The sequence below is a fragment of the Homo sapiens genome, chromosome 5 (assembly GCF_000001405.40).
Source record: "Homo sapiens chromosome 5, GRCh38.p14 Primary Assembly".
NCBI classification, from domain to species: domain Eukaryota; kingdom Metazoa; phylum Chordata; class Mammalia; order Primates; family Hominidae; genus Homo; species Homo sapiens.
In genome coordinates, this window is record NC_000005.10 from 78,102,005 (window position 1) to 78,129,971 (window position 27,967).

The following is a 27,967-nucleotide window of genomic DNA, read 5'->3' on the forward strand; positions in this document are numbered from 1 at the left end:
ATTTTAAATATATATTAGATTCTGTGCCAAGCAATGGAAATAACAGCCAAGATAGATATAGTCCTGCCTTCAAATAACTTATAATTTACCAAAAGTCTATAGCTTATTGCTAATGTGCTAATAAATATTTTTGAAGTATTCCTCTAGCCACGAGACGGTACCACTAAAGCAAAATATATTTTATCACTATTTAAAGTTTACACAGTGTTAGAGCTCCTACAACAGTGCACATACATGAACAAAAGCATTACGTAAAATTATACATAGGTAACATTTTAAAATAATTTAAATTTCACTTGTTTTTTCCCTTGTCCTGATACTCAGAAACTTCAAGGACCACATAATAATATACATTATTAATACACTTAAAAAGGCACTAATTTTATTCTTCAAAGTAATTATTTTTATCACTGAACACTCCACATCATCTAGTTGTTTTAATTTTCATTCCTTATTTAAAAATGAACGAAACAGTATTTGTCCCTCTCTCCATTTCTCAAATGAGTAAACAATGTCTAAGATGGTGAAAAAAATAGAAGAAACATTAGTTTTGAAGCTAAAATTTAAAAGTTGCAAGTAAATGAAAACAAGTGCAGAATGAAAATGCTGTCTCAACTAGAATATCATTCCTGTGAAGAAAGAACATATAACAAAAAGAGCATACCATCATGTGACTTATCAAAATGCTATGCTGAGCACAATGGGTGTAGCTTCCTATAAGCTACAATGGTGCATGACTGTCTTTATGGAACTGTAACCTCCCCACCTGAAAAATTAGAAACCTATCAAATCAAGATAAAGTTAAAGCTGAAGGCAAGTCTATACCTTAATTTCTACTTCACAGCCAAGAGTGTGTAACAATATCTATTAAATACATATCAGGTCACATATAACACAGAACAGAGCTGCATGTGAAATTGGCATAATCTCTTATTAGAAGCCTAGAACAGAGAGAAAAAAGGCTTTCAAAAGGACAGAATTTCATTGACTTTCTGAGAACAGCAAATAACCAGTGACTGAAATATAACATTAGCAATAGATAATGGTCATTTCTACTGAATTGGAAAACCCTTGCATTCTGAATCAACGCTATAAAATGCTTCATGATGTGTTTGGTATTCCTCTTATATTTCATTTTTCATTTTAAAAAATCCATAGTAAGTTCAAAACATTTTCATACTTAAAGGATCTACTATAAAAATAAAATTCTGAATTCTAAACGAAGAAGTTAAGAGCTCTATTCCATCAAACATTTCTCCATTTGCAATTCATCTTGGTAATAGAGACAGAACCTGGGTAAATGCATATAGGACTTGAGGCAGGAGATTTTTCTTGCTCAATGCATAATTCATGTGCTCCGCCTGCAAAGTGTGTAAAATGAGAATTTCACACCGCAGCATGAGCCATGGAGCTGCAGAGAAAAGGCAGATGAAATCATATTTTACTGTGCGATTTTATTTCTTACCCTCCCAATATTTATACAAAACCATCATCGACAAACCAAACACATTGACAGATCACCCACTGTTTCCATTGTGTTAGTACTTGAGAAGAGATCAGGCAGAAAGATAGACAATTTGTTTTTGTATATTTTTTTAAATAGAGGATTAGGCTTTTAACAGCTGAGTGACTGTATTAGACTTTTATAAGGACAACAGTAACTGATCTTAGAATCTCACCACAAAAAATACCTAGTTATCAATTCATCATCCTCAAATCTCCATTTTGTTTCTATGGTATTCAATTATACACCTCAACACATCAACATTTTCAAAATGCAATACAAAGTCACAGGGTCAAAAAAACTGATTTCTATTTAATGTATTTCACTTCAAATAATAAATAAAAGATCCTGGAAATACTTATTAACCTCCAAATAATACAAACAAAAATATGTTACAATACACCTGAAAAGATTTGTTAATGTATTATGCATGTTCATTTTCATGCTGATTAAAAAAAAGGCAAATAGCAAAAAAGATCTGACATGACAAGCATCAAATATGCATTCTAAGAGGAAACCATTGTAAAGAGGTTTGAAATTTGAAACTATAAAATAGGATAAGCAGTATGTAAAGTCTGTCAAAGCCATACTGTGCTTTGAAATCAACAAGAAGTCAAAGCTAATTTCTAGCCTCACAGGACAAGATATTTGCATGAAATATTTTCAATTAGAATTATCAACCAAAGATAATTTAATGACTTTTTTCCTTCAAGTTAACTGACAAATATGATTTTAAAAATCTGAGGCTAACACTTAAACTTGTGCTTTAAAACAAAAGTACACTGCTAGTAAATTGAGACTTCTTTATAAGTTAAAAAGAAGTCTAACCCACTAAAACAGATCTTTTCCTATTAGAGTACGCCTACTTCAATAAGAAAGCCTGCTTAATGGCATTCACTTCCTTTCAAAGGTCTCAACTGCAATTGAATAATATTTTTATTTTAGAGAACTTAAAATATAAATGAAATCAGGAAAGACATAAACTGAGAGGCAAGGCTTTGCATTATAACAGTAAAACCCAATATTCTTCAATATTTATAAAAGTTATATAATTGCAACATACAAAAATAGTTGTAAAAACATAACTAAAACTTGCTTACTTTTCAAATAGAACATAAAACCAATCAAAAAATTGTTCCTTTCACTCTTATCCATGATTTATTTCACACCACATGCCAAATTTACTTTATCCCCAAGAATCTTTCAAATAAAAGATCTTTATTGCCAAAATCTTTTATTAAGGCAAATCTTAACATTTACTGACATTCAGACACCAGTCAAATCCTAGTGACTGATCGTTAGAGCACCTAAGAGATTCACTCAGTTTCTTTGCACCTCCCAAAAGGAATTAGCAAAGTTTTGAGACACAAATATAACCTGAGATAAAAACAACTGACAAGAGCAACTCAAACACTGCTACGTATATACAGTTGGTACTATTTTCTTCATAGCTAGTATGTACCTTAATCTTAGTTTTAATTCAAATACTGAAATGCTTTTAATATTAAGTATTATTAAGTGCAAGTACATTAAATACTTAATATTTATTTCACATTGGTAGATTATTATGCTTTATATAGTTTATGTAATTAAAATGTTCATATAAGGAAAATACATAAAATTTACTCACAATAAATTACAATCATAATTTAAAGTTTTTATCATTTTAATCATAGAGTATCTAAATCTTCAGCCATTAGTACACAGACACTACAGATATAACTAGAATATTGCATCATGAATAAGGTGCGAATAGTGGACTAACAACGTAGCTGAAATAACTATGGTGTGGAGGAGCACTCTAATATACTGGGTAGTTGTAAGAACACTGAAGCCTAGGTTTCATGAAGGATAAAAATCCTGGAAACTTTAAAAGCATTATTTTAAATAAATTTTTTCACCATCTGTTCACATAATTTTAACTACAAGCAGAATATAACTTAATTATATTGGTCAAAAACAGGATAAAGTGATATAAATGTGAATCTCTTCCTGACACAATGTGGTCTACATCACTGAATTTTCTCTCCACTGTTTCATATAAAAAAAAATTTCCCCTTTACATTGTGTAAAGTATGTGAAATCACTTAAAATAAGGAATTACTAAAAGTAATTTTGTTATAGGTGTTATTTGGAACAAAAGAATTACTTCATTGAAAGGACTATACTAAAAATATTTCTCAATTAAATATATCTCAGAAAATAACACCTACACATAAAATACGCTTATCAATCAACATAATTATAACTAAAACAAGGAAATTTTCTATGGTCATTACTAACAACATCTGACCTCAAATGAGGACATATTCCAATCAATAACACAAACAAACAAACATGGCACCTGAATGTGTGACTATAGTTTTGTGCCTCGTGAATATGCTGGGGCATTTTAAGAACATAAATAATCCACCTGTGGTTCTCACCCTTTTGACTATCCCATTCACATGAGTGATACCCCATCATCAGTAACATTTTTCATTCCCTGCAGCCATTCCCAACTAGGAGAAGTGGAGGGTCACAGTGATATGAGGCCACTTTCTCCCTAGCTTTTATTTTGTGTAGTAAATGATGCAAAAAGAAAGAACAAAGGCATAGAAATAGGAAAGAATACAGAGTGTTAATAGAACCACAAATATTCCACTGGGATTAGAATTTAGTGTGTGTGGCTGGGCACGGTTGCCCATGCCTGTAATCCCAGCACTTTGGGAGGCTGAGGTGGGTGGATCGCTTGAGCCCAGGAGGTCGAGACCAGCCTGGGCAACATGGAGAAACCCCTCTCTATTAAAAATACAAAAAATTAGCCAAGCATGGTAGTGCATGCCTATAGTCCCAGCTACCCAGGAGGCTGAGGTGGGAGGATCACCTGAGACTTGGAGGTCGAAGCTGCAGAGAGCTGGGATCATGCCACTGCATTCCAGCTTGGGTGACAGAGCAAGACTCTGTCTCAAAAAAAAGAAAGAAAGAAAGAAAGAAAGAACACAAGGTGGGTAGGGTTAAGACAAGGTAGGTTTGGGCAAGCTAGCCTGAGTTTACTGAACTCAAATGGCAGTGGGCCATCAGGACAGGTGAATTTAATATCCATCTGGCAGTTGTATAGAAGGACTTGGGGTTGGGAAAGCATTGGTCAGAGGATGACCAATGGCAATGGTCTATGCAGGTAATGAAGAGCTAATCTAGAATAGTGGCAGTAGGGAAAGAAGAAACAGACATGAGAAATAACGCACAGAACATATAGGAGTTGGTAACTATCTAAACATACAGAATGACAGAGTAGTCAGAGATAATTCTGGGGCTTCAGATCTGGGAGAATGAAAAGAATGCTGGTGACAAATGGTAGAGCATGTCTTTTGATTGTATTAGGTTTGGAAAACCAGTAGCCTCAGAGAGGTCTAAAAATTTGGTATGAATTTGGGAAGAAAAGCTGAAACTTAATGTAAAGACTGAAAGATGTTACCATGGAAGTAATTAATATAAATGTTTTAGCTGAAGCTATAGGAGTGAATGAGGTCTCACAACAGGAAAAATTTAGAGGGAAAAAAGAAGATTAAAGAAAAATTCATTCACATCAATTAATATCTCAAAAGACTAATGTGTACTAAGTACTAATTTGGGGTCAACATTCACACTTGGGTGTCAGAGGCGTGTAAAAAGTGAAGCAACCAAAAGAATGAAAGGTCAAAAAAGTAAGAACAAAAGGGATGCAGAGACTTTTAAGTAGTAGGGGAATAGTCATAAAAAAAGATCAAGATTAAGAGAAGGCTACTGGGTTTGGGGAAGGATCATAGCTGCCTTTTCAGAGAGCAGTATGTGTAGGATAGAGTTGGAAATAACTGGGTTAAGAAGTACAAGATGGAGGATATGTAGAATATTTTTCTAAACTCACTCTCACTCATGTACACACACTCTGTTTTTTTCACTCCATGCTCCCTCTCTCTCTCTTTAAATGCTGAAAAAACCTGAATGCCACAGTTGGCAGAAAAGGAATGAATGGAGAAAGAGATTAAAGGTGCAAAGGAGACAGATGATTATTAACAAAACAAGACCAAAAGGAAGTAGGAGTTACCCTTGGGGAAGTGGATGCGAGTCTTACACAGAGCTGCGTTCAAAGGAAAAGTAGGGTAAATGGAGATTGTGAGTTAGAGAGCAGAAACACTGACCGTGGATGGCAGCTGTCTTCTAAGGAAAGTGGCTAAGCTCAGAGGCTGTAGGTAAGGGAACAGAATTAAATGTTGCCTTACAACTTGAATAGTGTAAAAAGAGTGAAAAAAAAAGAGCAGGATACTTAAGAGTTACCAAAAAATTTAGGTTACTTTTAGCATTTGATGTTCTCCAATACTGTTGATCTTTTATGGAATTTTTAAAAATGTTAAAACTGTTGTTTTATAGTTACATAGTGTGTTACATTGATCTTTCATATTTTATTTTTAACATAACACTTGAAAGAAGTAAGGTAGGTACTAGCATGTCTGCTTTACAGATGAGGAAACTGAAACAAAGATATTCTCTCCCAACAAGTAGAACACTATGCTTATCTCATAGGACTACCATAAAAATTAACTGTTTTGAAAGCCATATATTCAAGGTAACTCCTAGGTCGCATTTTCATGCTCAGTGCCCTCAAAACACATTGTCTGGATGAAAAAAAAGAAAAGAAAGAGTAAAAATATAGATTTAGTTAGGCTGCAGATATAAGGCATATGAATTTTCAGCACTAACATATTGTCATGCTAAATTAAAGTAAAGTACCCACCATCTGCCTTCATTACTCATAATTTAGGGCAGAAGCCACAACACTTGGTGCAAGGAGGACTTTTCCACAATTATAGTCACCTATTATTAGAAAATAGGTATATTCTGTAATTGCATGGTATACACCAAATCATTCAGAAAGAAACAGAAATAAATAAGTAGTTATGGTAGCTCCAAGGTGGAGAGTACTTATTCCAGTTGCTAAACTAAAGCAAAAAACTCCACAGTCCTGTATGCCTATTATAGATGGGAAAAGGCATTCTAATATAAAGAAAATAAGCCACCTAAGGGAAACACATGAACACAAAACTATCAACAATGTGAGCGAAACCCGAATTTCTCAAAGGCCTTGGTTCACTGCAATAGTTTGAGGTTTTTTATACTGACGTTCTATAGGAAAATATTTTTAACTATCAAGAGATTTAATCTGATCACTGAAAGTCTTTGACAAAGAAGAAACAAACAGAATCACTGACCTGGAGTGCCCCTGTGGTTTTTATCTTCTTTTGTTTTTTTCAGGGGGAGGAAGGGGTACAACACAACATGATGTTCAACCACTGTGGCTTTTTAATGGGATCCTAAAGCTCTGCTTCTAATACTACAGAGGCACTGAAGTCTATAATTTTTCAACTGTTACAAAATTTCCTAAGAATAACTTCTACCACTTGACACTCACTGATTTCTTGTTCTGTCATTTTTAAAAAATACTTCTTACTCTGGGTTGTATTTACTGTCGATTTGTAACTCTCTTTATTTTCAATAACATTTTAAACTTTCTGGTAATTTGATGTAAGTATGAAATGAGAGTACATCAGACTCACTAAGTGATAAGTTTTTATATGAGGCCAGATTAATAAACCATAAAATCTCTTAAGATTTTATGTGAATTTTTTAAAAATAAAAATCTCAGGTTATTTTATATACAGACACAAGTTTTAAATATAAATTCAAGTTTAAGATAGGTTTTAATATATGCAAGAAAATGTGAAATAAGGCAAGACAAATACTAGCCAATTTTTAAAACATTCTTTAACAATAAATCTCTGGATGGGGGAGGGCAATTGTCTACTTCAATAAATTAATTTTCATCCTTGCCTACTCAGATAACATATTGAAGAGATTCCAGTTAACAGAACAAATAAACGAAAACAATATTGGATTAAGAAGAAATTGAACTGAATCAAAGGCAGAGTTTGGCCATATTTTCAACAAACAGAATAACACAGTTGTATATAAAAATACTATACTTGAAGTCTAGCATGAACATGGTCCAGTTATAGGAAGGGGGTGATTATTAAAGACCAAAAAGATAATTATCGTTAGGTCTGAATTCTATATTTTTATTCTTTTAACTAGACTTGAAATCAGATAGAATACATTTTATATTAATAACTATATTTTTGCAATTTATACTTTATTTTTTTCCTGCTAAGCAGGCAAAATTCAGTGTTAAAAATGTTATTACCAAAAAGCATTATTATTTTATTATATAAGTGGTTCCATTTGTTTTTAAATAAATGGCTACGCAAATTCTTACTAACTAAAGAATGTATACTCTTTAATTGAAGCCTTAAAACACACTCTATTATGCAAAATGCCCAATATTTTTAAAAAGTGAATAGTCTCAATTTCTTATGATGTATGTACACTTATAATTCTTTGCTCAATACTATTTTTGTGACTTCCTTTCACTTCCCCTTCAGCAAAACCCCCCCCTTGTCACAACCTAGCCAAGAACAAAAAAGGTCATATGCGTAAGAGTTCCTTGATTTCAGTGGCAAGGGATGAGATTTTTTAAAGTTTCTAGCATTTCTGCAGAGTTGGGTTATAAGGGAAAGGCTTATCTAGAAAAAATAAAATCACAGGAGTAGATGAGGATGGTGTTGTCTATTTTAGTTGCTATAAGAATATTTACCTTCAATTACAACAAATGTATAATCTCTTACCTTAGTGACTCTTCTGGATTCAGATTCACTTTCAGGTTCTGACTCTGATTCAGAATCGGAAGAACTGTCTTCTATTGAACTAGATTCGTCATTTGAAGAATCTGAAGTTTTAGATTTTTCATTTTCCTTCTCCCCATCTTCAGAATCACTACACATAATAGTAAATTTTGAAATATGAACTTTAACTCCTTTATATAAGCAGTTTATAAAAAAATTGTTTTTAAATTCCAGAATACATTAATGAGGTAATAAAAAAGGTATTACCCATAACCAAATAAATTAGAACCCATTCAAATTCAATTCTATCCTGTCATACAAATTTCAAATGCAAAAAGTCATAAAATGACACTAAACAATATAATCAAAAGCAATGTAGAAAACATTAAATGTTTGATTTACCAAGAATTAAGTACTACCAGTAACAACGTTAAAGATATTTAGGCTGATTTTTTAAAACGCTATCTCAAAATACTGTGCCTGTGTGTGTGTGTGTGTGTGTGTGTGTGTGTATGTATGTATACATACATGTATATATATACGTATATACATATATATTCATGTATATATACGTATATATATACGTATATGAGACAGGGTCTCATTGTACAGTGGTGCAATCACGGCTCACTGCAGCCTTGACCTCCCGGGCTCAAGCGATGCTCCCATTTCAGCCTCCCAAGTAGTTGGGACTACAGGCATGCACCACCACATCCAGCTAATTTTATATTTTTTGTAGAGACAGGGTCTCACTAGGTTGCCTAGGCTGGTCTGGAACTTCTGGGCTCGAGTAGTCCTCCCAACTTGACCTCCCAAAATATTGGGATTATAGGCTTGAGCCACCACACCTGGTTTAGTAATATATTTAAATATTTATATATCTACTTCTGCTAAAATAGACTTGTATTTTATACATTTTCTACCCAAGAAAATTACTTACACAAGTTCCCAAATGTGACCTTAAACACATTCTATGAGAAAATGTTAACCAGTTCAAAGGAAATTCTTCTAAAGTACTATCTTGCTAAAAATTTAAGCTAATCAAATATAAACTTTTAAAATATCAAATGATCATACCTAAGTGCTTAACACCATTCATTTGTTCACCTGCTCAACAAATATTTATTAATTATTGACTACATGTTGGCATTATGCTAGGTGCTAAGGATAACGATGGTTAGTAAGACACAGAGGATCTCTGTGTGTCTACCCTACAGGGTCTACGGTCCACTGGAGGATACAGATAAGGTTGCAGTGATAATACAGTATAATAAGTAATAAGTAATAAATTATAGCGTGTCAGGAGAACATGTGGAGAGACACCTAAAAAAACTTGATCCAATTAGGAATGCTTCCTGGAGAAAGAGACATATAAGCCAAGATATAGGAGTAAGGCTGGCAGATGGGCAGGGAAACAGTTCTCCAAGGAGAAGGAATAACATGTGAGATGACCAAACACCCTTCTCTCAGGGGATGACAAATGCCTTGTGGTGCTTTATATTTTCCTGGAAACTAAAGGTCTAGTTCTCTCTACCACATGTGTGTGTATTTTTTTAAGAATCTACTGTGGGCCAGAAAGGGCTAGGCACTTCATACCAATCATACTAATTATCTAATTTAAATGCACTCTTCCTGGGTACATTATTATCCCATTTACAATAATGAAATTAATATTTAGAAAGGTTAAATAACCTGCTCAAGGGCACATAACAAGAGGGGCAGAACTAGAATCTGAACTCAAGCCTGTCTCATTCCAAAGTCCGTATTTTTTCCACTATGTCATACTATCTCCCTTCAAATGAAAATACCTTGGAGTGTAAAATTTAAATTTGGTCATAAATATTTATGATTACTAAAGGGTGGTTTTTGAAGATGTTTAAAGCTTATTAGGAGCTTTAAAAAATTATCATACTGGCAAAGTTAAAAAAAATTCTGAGACAGAAAAATACAGGGGGAGGGAGAGGAGTGAGACAAGGAAAGAATCAATATTTCCTAGAATTGATTTTTGTGGAGGAAATATGATTGCTATTTATTAAAAATGGAGCCATGGTAACATCTCAGAGCACATGTAATTATATTTGAAGACTGAAAAATATGTTGTTGTTTTTCCCTGGCAAAAAAATGGCAATTTATTATCCCCAATTCACTGGTTAAAATGTGTACTTAAAAATATAAGGTTTAGAATGTATTTGTGGTTCTCTTTGTAATAAACAATTCTTTTAAATTCAAACATGGGTAAAGAGAAAAATCCATTTCTGAAGAAAAGAATAATAAACCTAATACATGACTACAAATTTTGAGTATACTGACTTTTGCCATCTGAAAGGACATTTCATGCACTGAACAAAACTTTCCCTTTCTAGAAACAGGACATGTTTTATAACTCGTATCATCATAGACATGCTGATATTAAAGCAGAAGTACAGGATTTCTCTCAAAGACAAGGCTATTATAAACCAAGTAGCTCCTTTGCTGCAACAAGTGAATGATTCTAAATATATTCAACTTCTAGCTTTTAAGATAAGATTTTAAAAGTAAAAGTGTTATTTTATTATGCATCACTCAATTTTGATGGTAATTATTGTTTACCTTACTGCTTAGAGTTTCAGATGTTAATCTAATGAAAAGAATTTACTGGTAACTAGGTTTTTAACTTTGCAATGATGAAAAGCCTGTATTAATTTAACCTACAGATTTCATTTGTTCTGAACAGGAAAAACAATATAAATCACTTTTAAAATCATTAAATCCTGACTTAAATTAATAAAGTCATAATTAGGGCATTATGCTGTGTTTGTTATGGAAGTGGCAGGGAGAGCTGCTTTAATTACTGTCTGTAATAAAAGGAGCAGAGAGCGTACTGCGCCCCAATCAGTGCTGTCAGCCACGACTGAGCCGGGCTGCAAGCTCATCAAGTGAGCGGGCAGCAGGCTCCCGGGGAAAGGACCATCATGTCGGCAGAGGCCACTCGCTGACAGCAGCGGGGAAAACAGAGTTGCACAATCCAAGATATTAGACCCAATTACTCAAAATTTTAATGACACTTTAATACATGATAATGTTATTGATAATGGGAGATCTTAAAAAGTGCTAACACTTAAAGATCTTATGACCGTCTTCCTTCACAGCCCTTGACTCTAATATTTGGATCATAATCTTTTTAATATAACATTATTTAGAAAAATCAATTGTCTTGGTTACATAATGGCAAAGTGTTGAAGGATTTAATTTTAGCCCTCAGCAAAATCGCTACAAAAGGTAATTAAGTGTTTCATACCTATTGCTTGATCACTTAACTCAGCCTTCCAAGGTTATACCAATTTTCAAAATGTAACCCCAAGATATGTTCAAGTTCAAAATGAAAGCTAAGCATTACAAGTAGGAAAATAATGTGAACAACTAGCACTTTAATTTTAAAAAGATTTAATATCTGGAAAAAAATACACACTTTTTTTCTCTCACCATTTTTTGATTAATAAGAAACATCTCTGCCTGGGGCAAACTTTCACAGAATATTTTTTGAAGGAAATTCTGACAAAATAAGTTACCTTTTTCCTTTGGCTTTTGAGTTCCTCTTGGCTGTTCTTTTGTTTTCTAGGCCTGACTCCCGTCCACTCTCACTGTCCTGCTCACTGGAGGAGTCCTCACTGCTGTCCTCATTGCTGTCTCCTTCCTCCCCACTTTCGCCTTGTTCTCCACTTTCACTTCCAGATTCACTCTCTGAAAAACAGAACCAGATGTTCTTAGATTTATAGTCATTTAATTAGACACACGGACACCTGTAACTGTCAATATTCATCACAAATGAAACCAGATGTTGAATTTTAGTTCAGTGGACACCACTTGTTTAACATTTTATTCCCACACCCCATTCTTTCAGCTCTATGGATTCCTTTAGCACTGTGAGCTTGGAGGGAGGCAGACAGAGGATGCTCTGACAACGAGGAGAGAAAAGCTAAGCAAAGGTGAACCAAGTAAACCAAATTTGAGGGAATCTCACTTCAAACCCCAAAGTATATAGCTATGTCAAAAACTTTCTTTTAAAGAATTACGTAAGGATTGATGTAAGGCTAAAGAAATAATTTTGAATTCTTCTGCTTGTAATGGGAAATTCTATTTAGAGTAAAAGAAGGCAACAGTTGAATCTTCTTAGGAACAAATTTTGAGAGGAAAATGAGCCATTCAAATCACTTGGAAAGACCTCCAAATTCAAAGACAATAGGCAAAATGACTAATTAAAGAGTTATTACTTATTCGAGCTAGTAAACGAGTTTTCCATAGGTCAAAGAGATGATCAAGTTACACTGAGGAATTATACTTTTAAATGTTTTATGTGTAAATTATGGTATGCTAGGACTGTTCGCAGAAGAGAATACATGAAGAATATATGTGTATTTTTTAAGTGAAGCATAATTTTTACTATTTAAAATGACTATAACTACAGAGTTGTGTCCCAGACAAAAGGACAAACTGTTGCCCTGCCTGTGATCTATGTAACGAAGCCCTCTTAGGCAGGAACATAACCTTTAATTAAACATTCTAATGGTTAAATAATACCAACATCAGGAAGGTCCATCACAGTGAAAACCTAGGACTGCCTGTATTGTTTTAAGACGGCTTACAAGGGGTACAAGCATGGGTTCTCAAGTTAGTGTTCGGATTCAGATCCTGGCTCTTCTACTTGCCAGTTGTAAAACTGAACAAGTTATTCAACTTCTCTGGGTTTTGGTTTCCTTTTCAGCAAATGGGGATAACACTAGTTACTTTTCAGAGCTGTTGTGAAGATTAAATGATTTGAAACATACAAAGGAGATTAGAACACAACAGGGTCTGCCACAGGGTAAGGCACTCATCATTATCATCATTTACAAACAGGAAAGTTTATTTTACTAAAATAAAGCTACTAAATAAGGACATTTTAGATTTGTGGTAATATCCAAGTTACACGCACATACATATTAAGTCAGATAACTGGCTTATGCTATAAACAATGAAAGAAATTACAGGTAATGTATCACAGATTAATTTATCAGATACTAAAAACAAAGATTTTTGATAAGGAAGACAGAGAAAAGAAGAGTGAATTACCTTACAGTAGGGTAGCAGATAACCATGTAAGAGTGACAGGCCCTGGTTCTCCAAGGAATAAAGATTTTAGAGAAAGTTGGGTGTCGTTTGGTCTTGGGTCAGATTTGCCTATTAGCTTAAGTGTTAATAAGAGCATCAGAAAGTGACTACAATCTATTTTTCATTATGCAAATCACTCACAGAATTTTAGCAATGAAGGGACTTTAAGAAATATTTAACTGTACCCCTTCATTTATCTGATATAGAGAAAAGTAGGTGCCTTATTCAATTTGCATAGGTAAAAGCCAGGGCCTCTAAATCCTTCCTATTAAGCATTCTTTTCACTGCATATAGTTACCCTCAACCTTTAGTTTGATTTTTTTATAGTATATAGAGACTTAATAATTTTAGCTTTATCTCTATAGAGGTTCACAGAAAGAGATAAGTATAAAATGAAAGAGAAAAAGACTCTTCAAGGTATAAAATAAACTTTACGTTTTTGTAAAAGAAAGTTACTTTTAAAGACCCCACTAAAAGTTCATCAAGTGTAAAATTATGTTTTTCAATAGATATATTAGGCATTGTGGTTTAGAATTCAGAAAAGTATGAGTTCCTGTTTCAGCTATACCAATGTATCAGCTACTATCCAAGAGATATTGTAAAGTAAAAAGAGAATTTAGTAATTAAAAATTACTTTGAAAACTAAAGAGTGATATATAAATGAAAGGGATTATTTTGATAATACAAACTTCACTTAAAACTACCTGCTGAATATTATGGATTAGGCCTTGTTTCTGAGATATAGAATGTAATCTACTATGTAAATAATATATGCCAATAAATTATAAAACCCACCACTGTCACTGCTACTATCAGAAGAGTCCTCCTCTTCCTCAGATTCAGAATAAAACTTCTTAGCAGAATTCTCTTGCTTTGCTTTTCCTGCTGGGGTCCATTCTTTTGCCTGTTTAAACAAATAAAGTAAATATAAATGAATTCTCATTCAGAGATTTAGAGTTCTGGCAAACTTAATCATTAACAACATAACTGAATTCAAAAGCAAGCTTAAGGCCTCCACAGGGAATGCAACTGTTAGAAGTCCTGGCATTAAGGCTGATTCACTTTACTCCTAAATACAACAACACAAACTCTCACTCAGAGGCCCTATGTTAAACCAACAATCTTATTTTAAATATACAATTTTTAAAACTTTTGTGTTTTTTGGCCCACAGAAGATTTAAACAAAAGTAATATATCCTAAAATAGGTGAGCGAAACTAGAAGCAGATACAATAACAGCAATAACAAACACAAGTTGATAGCTTGACACTGAGGGAAAAGAGAGAAAAAAAAAAAGAAAGAAAAGAAAATATTTAGTGTAGGCAATAAATTGCCCTAACCATCTCAACAGCCTAAATCCTGGAGTAATCCTTGACTTCTCTTTTTTTCTCATATCCTAAACATCTAAGCCATCAAGAAATCCTGTAGCTACCCTGGTCTGACCCACCCTTCTCTCCTGGACTACTCGTTACCTTGCTTCTACTGCCCCTCCACCCTGCCCCCAGCAAACAAACTTTGCAAAACACAGCATCTAGAATGATTATATTAAAACCTAAATGAGAGCAAGCTCCTTTTTGGCCTGAAACCCTGCAGTGGCTCCCCATTTTACTCAGAGAAAAAGCCGAAGTCCCTACAACAGTCTGCACAGCCCAATACAACCATCCTTTCATGACTGCCCCTCCACAACTGTCCCCGTCGCCTGCCTCTCTCACCTCTTGCTGCTCACCCTCTTGCCTGATCTGCTCTGGCCATGCCTTACTGTTCCTCCAAACGTCCCAGGCATGCTCCCAGTTTAGGGCCTTCACCCTAGCTCTTGGCACTTCCAACACCATTCCCCACCACCTTTTTTTTTTTTTTTTTTTTAATCACAGCATGTATTACTTGTTAACATACTATACAATCTACTTGTTTTTTTAACTGTTGGTCTATCCCTGGTAGAATGTAAGTTTCTGGAGAGCAGGGAATTTAAAATATTTTGTGCAATTTTTTTTTTTTTTTGAGACGGAGTCTCGCTCCGTCGCCCAGGCTGGAGTATGGTGACAGGATCTCGGCTCACTGCAAACTCTGCCTCCTAGGTTCAAGCGATTGTCCTGCCTCATCCTCCCAAGTAGCTGGGATCACAGGCACCCACCACCACGCCCAGCTAATTTTTGTATTTTTAGTAGAGACAGGATTTCACTATGTTGCCCAGGCTGGTCTCTAACTCCTGACCTCAGGTGATCCACCTGCCTCGACCTCCCAAAGTGCTGGGATTACAGGTGTGAGCCACCACGTCCAGCCTATTTTGTTCAATTTTAAGTGTGGCTGACACAATAAATACTAATTATATTTATTAGCCTCTTAAAGACTTCAATATTAAATTCAGAAACATGCTTAAGAAAAATACTGACTTTAGTGTTTACTAAATATTGTATTAGTAACAGCATTTACTAATATGAGCCCCTTTAACCACTTTAATACAGAGTATTAGTTTGCTTTTATAGTCATGGCCTTGATTTGTCAAGAAGAAATTAAATCATGCTTCATATATGATTTTTTAAAAAGCAGGGAAATGTATACTTCTGAAAAGATAAAATAGTTGAGACTCATTTATTGATTGTACCTTTGAGTTTTTCCTATGTGCAAGTCTTTGCTAGAGTACCTATTTTATTGTAAAGGAGTCTACAGCATGACAGAATTTCTTATTCAAGAATGTTTCTCAGCACTGAATGTACAATAGAATCACCTGAGAATAGTTTTTAAACGCTAATATAAACAATACAAATATTAATACTAAAAAAACAAATACCTAGATTCACCTCCTAAAATTCTGATTTAATTAGTCTGGTGCACATTTGACCTAGTTTTGTTTTATTTAAAAAATCTCCAGGAGGGTGGAGCCAAGATGGCCGAATAGGAACAGCTCCGGTCTACAGCTCCCAGCGTGAGCGACGCAGAAGACGGGTGATTTCTGCATTTCCATCTGAGGTACCACCAGGTTCATCTCACTAGAGAGTGCCAGACAGTGGGTGCAGCGCACTGTGCGCAAGCCGGAGCAGGATGAGGCATTGCCTCACTCAGGAAGCGCAAGGGGTCAGGGAGTTCCCTTTCCTAGTCAAAGAAAGGGGTGACAGACGGCACCTGGAAAATCGGGTCACTCCCACCCTAATACTGCGCTTTTCCAACGGGCTTCAAAAACGGCACACCAGGAGATTATATCCCACACCTGGCTCAGAGGGTCCTACACCCACGGAGTCTTGCTGATTGCTAGCACAGCAGTCTGAGACCAAACTGCAAGGCGGCAGTGAGGCTGGGGGAGGGGCGCCTGCCATTGCCCAGGCTTGATTAGGTAAACAAAGCAGCCAGGAAGCTCGAACTGGATGGAGCCCACCACAGCTCAAGGAGGCCTGCCTGCCTCTGTAGGCTCCACCTCTGGGGCCAGGGCACAGACAAACAAAAAGACAGCAGTAACCTCTGCAGACTTAAATGTCCCTGTCTGACAGCTTTGAAGAGAGGAGTGGTTTTCCCAGCACGCAGCTGGAGATCTGAGAACGGGCAGACTGCCTCCTCAAGTGGGTCCCTGACCCCCAAGCAGCCTAACTGGGAGGCACCCCCCAGTAGGGGTAGACTGACACCTCACACGGCCGGGTACTCCCCTGAGACAAAACTTCCAGAGGAACGATCAGGCAGCAGCATTTGCAGTTCACCAATATCCGCTGTTCTATAGCCACTGCTGTTCTGCACCCACCGCTGCTGATACCCAGGCAACAGGGTCTGGAGTTGACCTCTAGCAAACTCCAACAGACCTTCAGCTGAGGGTCCTGTCTGTTAGAAGGAAAACTAACAAACAGAAAGGACATCCACACCAAAAACCCATCTGTACATCACCATCATCAAAGATCAAAAGTAGATAAAACCACAAAGATGGGGAAAAAACAGAGCAGAGAAACTGGAAACTCTAAAAAGCAGAGTGCCTCTCCTCCTCCAAAGGAACGCAGCTCCTCACCAGCAACAGAACAAAGCTGGACGGAGAATGACGTTGACGAGCTGAGAGAAGAAGGCTTCAGATGATCAAACTACTCCAAGCTACAGGAGGAAATACAAACCAATGGCAAATAAGTTAAAAACTTTAAAAAAAAATTAGACGAATGGATACCTAGAATAACCAATGCAGAGAAGTCCTTAAAGGAGCTGATGGAGCTGAAAGCCAAGGCTCGAGAACTATGTGAAGAACGCAGAAGCCTCAGGAGCCGACGCGATCAACTGGAAGAAAGGGTATCAGTGATGGAAGACGAAATGAATGAAATGAAGTGAGAAGGGAAGTTTAGAGAAAAAAGAACAAAAAGAAACGAACAAAGCCTCCAAGAAATGTGGGACTATGTGAAAAGACCAAATCTACGTCTCATTGGTGTACCTGAAAGTGACGGGTAGAATGGAACCAAGTGGGAAAACACTCTGCAGGATATTATCCAGGAGAACTTCCCCAATCTAGCAAGAAAGGCCAACATTCGGATTCAGGAAATACAGAGAACGCCACAAAGATACTCCTTGAGAAGAGCAACTCCAAGACACATAATTGTCAGATTCACCAAACTTGAAATGAAGGAAAAAACGTTAAGGGCAGCCAGAGAGAAAGGTCGGGTTACCTACAAAGGGAAGCCCATCAGACTAACAGCTGATCTCTTGGCAGAAACTCTACAAGCCAGAGGAGAGTGGGGGCCAATATTCCACATGCTTAAAGAAAAGAATTTTCAACCCAGAATTTCATATCCAGCCAAACTAAGCTTCCTAAGTGAAGGAGAAATAAAATACTTTACAGACAAGCAAATGCTGAGAGAGTTTTGTCACCACCCGGCCTGCCCTAAAAGAGCTCCTAAAGGAAGCACTAAATATGGAAAAGAACAACCAGTACCAGCCACTGCAAAAAACATGCCAAAATGTAAAGACCATCAAGGCTAGGAAGAAACTGCATCAACTAACGAGCAAAATAACCAGCTAACATCATAATGACAGGACCAAATTCACACATAACAATATTAACTTTAAATGTAAATGGGCTAAATGCTCCAATTAAAAGACACAGACTGGCAAATTGGATAAAGAGTCAAGACCCATCAGTGTGTTGTATTCAGGAAACCCATCTCACGTGGAGAGTCACACATAAACTCAAAATAAAGGGATGGAGGAAGATCTACCAAGCAAATGGAAAACAAAAAAAGGCAGGGGTTGCAATCCTAGTCTCAGATAAAACAGACTTTAAACCAACAAAGATCAAAAGAGACAAAGAAGGCCATTACATAATGGTAAAGGGATCAATTCAACAAGAAGAGCTAACTATCCTAAATATATATGCACCCAATACAGGAGCACCCAGATTCATAAAGCAAGTCCTGAGTGACCTACAAAGAGACTTAGACTCCCACACATTAATAATGGGAGACTTTAACACCCTACTGTCAACATTAAACAGATCAACGAGACAGAAATTTAACAAGGATACCCAGTAATTGAACTCAGCTCTGCACCAAGCAGACCTAATAGACATCTACAGAACTCTCCACCCCAAATCAACAGAATATACATTCTTCTCAGCACCACACCACACCTATTCCAAAATTGACCACATAGTTGGAAGTAAAGCACTCCTCAGCAAATGTAATAGAACAGAAATTATAACGAACTGTCTCTCAGACCACAGTGCAATCAAACTAGAACTCAGGATTAAGAAACTCACTCAAAACCGCTCAACTGCATGGAAACTGAACAACCTGCTCCTGAATGACTACTGGGTACATAACAAAATGAGGGCAGAAATAAAGATGTTCTTTGAAACCAACGAGAACAAAGACACCACATACCAGAATCTCTGGGACACATTCAAAGCAGTGTGTAGAGGGAAATTTATAGCACTGAATGCCCACAAGAGAAAGCAGGAAAGATCCAAAATTGACACCCTAACATCACAATTAAAAGAACTAGAAAAGCAAGAGCAAACACATTCAAAAGCTAGCAGAAGGCAAGAAATAACTAAAATCAGAGCAGAACTGAAGGAAATAGAGACAGAAAAAACCCTTCAAAAAAATCAATGAATCCAGGAGCTGCTTTTTTGAAAAGATCAACAAAATTGATAGACTGCTAGCAAGACTAATAAAGAAGAAAAGAGAGAAGAATCAAATAGATGCAATAAAAAATGATAAAAGGGATATCACCACTGATCCCACAGAAATACAAACTACCATCAGAGAACACTACAAACATCTCTACGCAAATAAACTAGAAAATCTAGAAGAAATGGATAAATTCCTTGATACATACACCCTCCCAAGACTAAACCAGGAAGAAGTTGAATCTCTGAATAGACCGATAACAGGCTCTGAAATTGTGACAATAATCAGTAGCTTACCAACCAAAAAAAGTCCAGGACCAGATGGATTCACAGCCGAATTCTACCAGAGGTACAAGGAGGAGCTGGTACCATTCCTTCTGAAACTATTCCAATCAATAGAAAAAGAGGGAAGCCTCCCTAACTCATTTTAGGAGGCCAGCATCATCCTGATACCAAAGCCTGGCAGAGACACAAACCAAAAAAGAGAATTTTAGACCAATATCCTTGATGAACATTGATGCAAAAATACTCAATAAAATACTGGCAAACCGAATCCAGCAGCACATCAAAAAGCTTATCCACCATGATCAAGTGGGCTTCATCCCTGGGATGCAAGGCTGGTTCAACATACACAAATCAATAAATGTAATCCAGCATATAAACAGAACCAAAGACAAAAACCACATGATTATCTCAATAGATGCAGAAACGGCCTTTGACAAAATTCAACAACCCTTCATGCTAAAAACTCTCAATAAATTAGGTATTGATGGGATGTATCTCAAAATAATAAGAGCTATCTATGACAAACCCACAGCCAATATCATACAGCATGGGCAAAAACTGGAAGCATTCCCTTTGAAAACTGGCACAAGACAGGGATGCCCTCTCTCACCACTCCTATTCAACATAGGGTTGGAAGTTCTGGCCAGGGCAGTTAGGCAGGAGAAGGAAATAAAGGGCATTCAATTAGGAAAAGATGAAGTCAAATTGTCCCTGTTTGCACATGACATGATTGTTTATCTAGAAAACCCATCGTCTCAGCCCAAAATCTCCTTAAGCTGATAAGCAACTTCAGCAAAGTCTCAGGATACAAAATCAATGTGCAAAAATCACAAGCATTCTTATACACCAATAACGGACAAACAGAGAGCCAAATCATGAGTGAACTCCCATTCACAATTGCTTCAAAGAGAATAAAATACCTAGGAATCCAACTTACAAGGGATGGGAAGGACCTCTTCAAGGAGAACTACAAACCACTGCTCAATGAAATAAAAGAGGATACAAACAAATGGAGGAACATTCCATGCTCATGGGTAGGAAGAATCAATACCGTGAAAATGGCCATACTGCCCAAGGTAATTTATAGATTCAATGCCATCCCCATCAAGCTACCAATGACTTTCTTCACAGAATTGGAAAAAACTACTTTAAAGTTCATATGGAACCAAGAAAGAGTCCGCATCGCCAAGTCAATCCTAAGCCAAAAGAACAAAGCTGGAGGCATCATGCCATCTGACTTCAAACTATACTACAAGTCTACAGTAACCAAAACAGCATGGTACTGGTACCAAAACAGAGATATAGATCAATGGAACAGAACAGAGCCCTCAGAAATAATGCCGCATATCTACAACCATCTGATCTTTGACAAACCTGAGAAAAACAAGCAACGGGGAAAGGATTCCCTATTTAATAAATGGTGCTGGGAAAACTGGCTAGCCAGATGTAGAAAGCTGAAACTGGATCCCTTCCTTACACCTTATACAAAAATTAATTCAAGATGGATTAAAGACTTAAATGTTAGATCTAAAACCATAAAAACCCTAGAAGAAAACCTAGGCAATACCATTCAGGACAGAGGCATGGGCAAGGACTTCATGTCTAAAACACCAAAAGCAATGGTAACAAAAGCCAAAATTGACAAATGGGACGTAATTAAACTAAAGAGCTTCTGCACAGCAAAAGAAACTACCATCAGAGTGAACAGGCAATCTACAGAATGGGAGAAAATTTTTGCAACCTACTCATCTGACAAAGGGCTAATATCCAGAATCTACAATGAACTCAAACAAATTTACAAGAAAAAAACAAACAACCCCATCAAAAAGTGGGCGAAGGATGTGAACAGACACTTCTCAAAAGAAGACATTTATGCAGCCAAAAAACACATGAAAAAATGCTCGTCATCACTGACCATCAGAGAAATGCAAATCAAAACCACAATGAGATACCATCTCACACCAGTTAGAATGGCAATCATTAAAAAGTCAGGAAACAACAGGTGCTGGAGAGGATGTGGAGAAATAGGAACACTTTTACACTGTTGGTGGGACTGTAAACTAGTTCAACCATTGTGGAAGTCAGTGTGGCGATTCCTCAGGGATCTAGAACTAGAAATACCATTTGACCCAGCCATCCCATTACTGGGTATATACCCAAAGGATTATAAATCATGCTGCTATAAAGACACAGGCACATGTATGTTTATTGCGGCACTATTCACAATAGCAAAGACTTGGAACCAACACAAATGTCCAACAACGACAGACTGGATTAAGAAAATGTGGTACATATACACCATAGAATACTATGCAGCCATAAAAAATGATGAGTTCATGTCCTTTGTAGGGACATGGATGAAACTGGAAACCATCATTCTCAGCAAACTATCACAAGGACAAAAAACCAAACACCACATGTTCTCACTCATAGGTGGGAAATGAACAATGAGAACACATGGACACAGGAAGGGGAACATCACACTCCAGGGACTGTTGTGGGGTGGGGCGAGTGGGGAGGGATAGCATTTGGAGATATACCTAATGCTAAATGACGAGTTAATGGGTGCAGCACACCAACATGGCACATGTATACATATGTAACAAACCTGCACATTGTGCACATGTACCCTAAAAGTATAATAATAAAATAAAAATTAAACACACACACACACACAAAATCTCCATATGATTATAATGCGCAGCTACATTTAAAAACCACTAGTCTAAGGCTGGGTGATGTAGCTCATACCTGTACTCTCAGCACTTTGGGAGCTGAGGCAGGAGGATGGCTTGAGCCCAGGAGTTTGAGGCTGCAGTGAGCTATGATCGCACCACTGCACTCCAGCCTGGGTGACAGAGCAAAATCATGTCTCAAAAAAATAAATAAAAGCAAATAAAAATAAAACCACTGATCTAGAGGGTTTAAGGTATGTTGCTTAAAAAGAGAAGCTTGAATATATTTGAATAAGATGCTTATATAAGATCAGCAGTATGGCTTTCTTTTATATTTATTTAAAATGCTTCTGTCTACAAAGATAGTATTCTATAAACAAAGCTCTCTTATATTTGGTAAACTCTGAAGTCCATATTTTTCTTAAATCCAAACATATTTCTCTGAGGTCTGATAAAACGTTTGTTGGATTAATTTAATAACACTAAATCAACAATTTCGGAAAACCAGACTTCTATGCTCAAACGTGCATTTTTTCTTGACATGGCCATGAATTCTATGGAGTTTCAGGTTTTAAAAGGCCAAAGACGAACAATAAAAGTATCTTAATTTGTATTGTGGTCCTTTATGACTAAAAGACCACATTATCATTGTAAGGAAAAGGAATAATAGGGAAAAGAAAAGAAAAGAAAAGAAGAGAACATAGACGCTAATTTGAAAGTTTCTGTAAAGGATAAAATATTGACAGATGTGTTTATGAAGCAAAATACCCTTCATATGCAGAAGGCGGTCTTTCTGTCAGTAGAGAAGAAAGGACTTTCTAGAACTAAGCAAATAAATTATTAACTAAGGATCTTCAAAACTTACTGGGATCATAATATAAATATATATTATATCCTATATCCTAGAAATGGTGGTGTGTAATTCAAAGTGACTTCTACTGTCAATCTGACTAGGTTCCCAGTCATTTTGATTAAAATATCAGATTATCTAAACCTAGGTCATTTTTCTTACTAAGTTATATTTCACAGTTACAGGACTTGACCATGTAAGATCACTTTACAGGAAAACTAGAATAACATAGTATATTATATGCATGAAATACAGTGACATGACTTGGAAGGGAGATGAAGTAGAGTGAGAGACAAGAAAGATAATACGGACATTATTTTTTGTATTGTAGCTGCATTTAAAAAGAAAACTATCTACGTTATTTTTATATTTAATTGTGTCCCTCATAGTATAATTTTAAGCCAATTGTCTCAGAGTCCAATAGACTGAAGCTGTTTTCTGCATGGCATCAACAGACAGTGACAGTTTTATCAAACCATGTTCAATCAGTTATAATGATTCTCTCTAAGTTACCAATTATTAATTTCATAAATATAATCAGCAAAATGAAAAAGAAATTAATTTGTCTCTGTTGAATTGGACAGGTGAAACGAACATAATATGTTATATTTAAGTACTGTCCCTATAAGGTAGTTAATGCTTAGAAGAGCACATGAAAATGGAAGAAGCCAGCCAACAAACCAATCTATCAGCCAATAAAGAATACTGCTGAGACCAAATTAAATTGCATAGCATTGCTATCAACTCTGAGAAGATAATGCTTTTTGGTGGGTGGGGGCAGCAAGGAGGGAGAGATAAGGCGGAAGCAGGGGAAGGTTAAAAGGATGGTTCTACTTGGGCTAAAACATCATGTACCCCATAATGAAAAAAAAAAACGAACCATAAAAACAACAAACAAGCATAATAAGAAATTAGGAGAGAAAGTATGTCCGTAGGAGGAACCATAACAAAGAACACTCTCTTTATATTCTAGTATCTGATCAAAAGTTGCACAAATAGGCTGGGCACGGTGACTCACACCTGTAATCCCAGCACTTTGGTAGGCTGAGGCGGGCAGATCACTTGAGGTCACGAGTTTGAGACCAGCCTGGCCAACATGGCGAAACCCCATCTCTACTAAAAATACAAAAATTAGCCAAGCATGGTGGCATGTGGCTGTAATCCCAGCTACTTGGGAAGCTAACGCAGGAGAATCGCTTGAACCTGGGAGGCAGAGCTTGCAATGAGCCAAGATCATGCCCCTGCACTGCAGCCTGGGTGACAGAGCAAGACTCTGTCTCAAAAAAAAAAAAAAAAAAAAAAAAAAAAATTGCACAAATAAGGCAACTCTTTTGAAGAGTACTTAAGAGTATGCAGATTTGAGTAAAAATCAACAAACTCAGCTGCAAGGAGGGATAGACATGTAATTGCTTCTCATATTTTTACATATTACTACTGTTACAAATTTTTGGCTGTCTCTAAGTACAGATCATTTGTCAAAACATAAAGATAATGGTGCTAAGTACTAAGGATAATACAGATTTGTGAACAAGCTCAAGGTTCCTCTTCTCATATTACATAATAAAATACAGTAACAGCATGGACAGTGAACTCAGACCTGGGTTGGAATATGGTTCTATCACTTACTTGCCATGTGAACTTAGGCGATTTACTTTAAGTTATCTAAGACTTGGCTTCCTCATCTGCAATGTGGGAATAACAATAACCATCCCTTACAATCATTATTAGGTTTAAACAAGATAGTTTTTATAAAACATTATCATCGTACACTGTCAGGGGTTCCTAAATAGTGCTATTATTAATTCCGGCCATGCTTCAAAGCCAGGATAAGTTGGAGTGGTTAAGAGAAACATTTAATAATTTCTCAGAGGAATCAAATTACATGGCCATGATCATTATAGAAATTCTATTTATTAAAGTAATAAAGGTTTTCTTCCACTGTATACAGAAAAATTGAGAGCAAGGAGGTTAACTCACTTTCCCACAGGAATTAGTAAAGAACCCCAGTTATCTGAATCCTAATTCAATGTATCTTTTCCACCAGAAAAGTATCCAGAATACAATTCTTAACTGCTTTTTTTGTTAACTCCACATTTTAAAGTATTAAATATATTTTGCATAATTGCTAAATACAATTAGAAGGCCTCTCTCACTTTTTCTTGTATATATGAGAAAGAAACAGATAATATTAGAAAAGAATGTTAATTCTTTTATCTCAATGGCCAGCATTTTTTTTAAAGATTGAGAAAAAGAGTATTTATATAGCAAATTTGTTTTTGATGAGAAAGCACCATATTATTCACTTTGTGACCTTGTCAAAGGACATTTTTGGTACACAATGCTCCCTATTTATGTTCAGGCTTCACTTAAAAATGGTTCATCAAAAAATCTAGAACACTTTGTGTGGTTTTTCTGAAAGAGAACAGCAGAAATTATTCAGAAGGATATTGTCAGGAAGCTTACAAATCTCTAAACAAAGTAGAAAAAACTTCATCCAATGAAACTAAATACCTTAGAAATTGAATCTACGCGGCTACAAATGCAATAGCACAAATGTGGGTGGCACTGATGCAGAGAATTCAGTTCTCTATTTCCTTGAAGAAAAGGAACAGTACATGTACAATGGCATAGGAATACTATAATATTTAGTTGCTATAAAGGCAAGGTATATCTAACACATTACATTTAGAAATACTAGAACAATTTTCAATTTTCAACTCTCCAAAAAAGCTTTTATATAAAACAATAGCTATCCTAGAGTCTTCCACTGCTTTGGCAAAATTAATTTCAGAAAGGTCAACTTACCAACTCTATTACTTCTACATTTCGAACTGATGGGTCGGGCGCCACCTCTGGCCAATTAGATAATTCCAGGTACCCAGTAGCTTTAATGTTGAGAGTATGAGATAAGGTGCCAAGCTGGAAATGATCTCTATCTATTAAAAATAGGGAAAAATATAAAATAAACAATATGAGCTGTATATAACAGAGAACAATCATAATCAGAGCTCAAGGTAATTGGCATATTACCTCAAATGTCAAGGAATAAATATAGACTAGGAAGCTCTTCATAGGTCAAAAAACTGATTTCAGTCCATAGATTACAATAATCTCCCCCATAATGGTCAATAAAAAAGCTAATCAGTCAGTGTGTTTAGAGGTGTTGCTCTGAAATGTAGCTTCTCTAAAAATTACTTTACTGTGAATATTAAGAATGACAGCACAGTTAAACAATCCATATACATGTCTTGGCACAAACACATCCAGAATTTTAATAGTTTTTCTACAAAACTGAATTGCTTTTTATCGCTTTAAAATAAGAACATTAAATAAGAAACAATATGAAAACCAAGGTATGTAACTATTTGATTCCAACTGGAATGGCTACTTGTAAGGTGGTAAAATACTTAATTACTCCTTTTAAAAAGCTGGGACACGTAAGTCAACTTCCCTCTTTGAAAAACCAGTTTAAATATAGAGGGATACTTTTTATAAAATAATTCCTCCTAGAAAAACTGATATTAGTGTACACAGAATATTTACTTAATAACTCACTATTAAAAGGAATTATATTTCTTATAAAACTATTTAAAAGAGAAATGAAGTCATTATTTATAAGAATAAGACAGTTTTCATCTATTGCCCAGTTTAAATGTTAGAATAAAGTCAGAACGCTTAAAATTATTTAGTAAATAAGGTCTACAAAAATATAAACTTTAATATAAAACTTGCTTTTGAGAGCAGATGAATGAGTAGAAAGCATGCTGTTCTTATATATTTATATATGCGAATCATTTATATTTCCTAAGAGATAAATTTTAAGCACATTAGAAATGGCAACATCTTGTCATAATTTTTTAGATAACATATATTTTGGAGTTATATTCTGATAATACCTTTAAAAGGAGACTCAAGCAGTGGTGCAGGCTTTTGTGCTAGGAATATTTTTTTGGCATATTTACTTAAAGCTCCACTCTTTACATTCGGAACAATAAGCTGCCTAATAAATCTTGTACGGTCTCTGATGTCGTAGTTTTGATCATACTTGCCGAGATTTAATATGTACTGGGTAAGCAATTTTGTCTGTTGGAAAAAAACAGATCAAGATGAGAATACAGTTATTTATGATTATCGATAACTCTGGATAAACATATTTAAAGAGGTAATAAAAATGAATGGTTATGTCAAACAAATGTTGTTCCATAGGGAATACACATTTCTAATGCTGCAAATGGAATTTTGAAGCCAAAGCACATGTCCTCTTCTGTACTGGGTAGGTGAATGCTGAGTATTGAGAAGCAGCCATGTGCTAGATTATTAAACTGCTGAAGTGGAAAGAAAGGCATCATTAAAAAAATAATCATATATGGCAAACCCGCTGAAGGGGTCTACGTGAGAATAATGAATGTGGAAATACAACTAAAAACATGGCACTCAAAACTTAATCGGAAAAATATGCAGGACATCAAAACATCAGAAAGTATTAGGGGGCTGGCAAACTGCTTCTCCTGAGGTGTGTTTTATGAAGAGATACTGTCCCTGGCATAAGCAGTGTCTGCACTCTGACTGCACTCAGTTACTTTACCCTGAATTATGACCCATTAAAGCAGACACATGAATCACTGAACTGGATTACTGCAAATTATTTGCAGTGCATTTAGCTGTTACTTTTTCATAAAAGCAAGCTGCTGATGCCCTCTGAAAACTAGGATAAAAGACTTCTTCCATTTTTCCCCCAAGCTGCTTA

The 27,967-nt window shown here is 35.8% G+C and overlaps 1 protein-coding gene across 3 annotated transcripts in view; it reads right to left on the reverse strand.

Annotated features, from left to right (window-relative positions):
• The window catches only part of AP3B1 (adaptor related protein complex 3 subunit beta 1), a 294,177-nt gene that overhangs the window by 101,483 nt on the left and 164,727 nt on the right, over positions 1-27,967 (reverse strand). For all 3 annotated transcript variants that reach the window (NM_001271769.2, NM_003664.5, NM_001410752.1), the window contains exons 16-20: positions 27,117-27,303; positions 26,026-26,156; positions 14,122-14,230; positions 11,748-11,919; positions 8,203-8,350 (exon numbers count right to left, since the gene is read on the reverse strand). In NM_001271769.2, the coding sequence (NP_001258698.1) occupies positions 8,203-8,350; positions 11,748-11,919; positions 14,122-14,230; positions 26,026-26,156; positions 27,117-27,303 (747 nt within the window). The remainder of the gene's footprint in view (positions 1-8,202; positions 8,351-11,747; positions 11,920-14,121; positions 14,231-26,025; positions 26,157-27,116; positions 27,304-27,967) is intronic.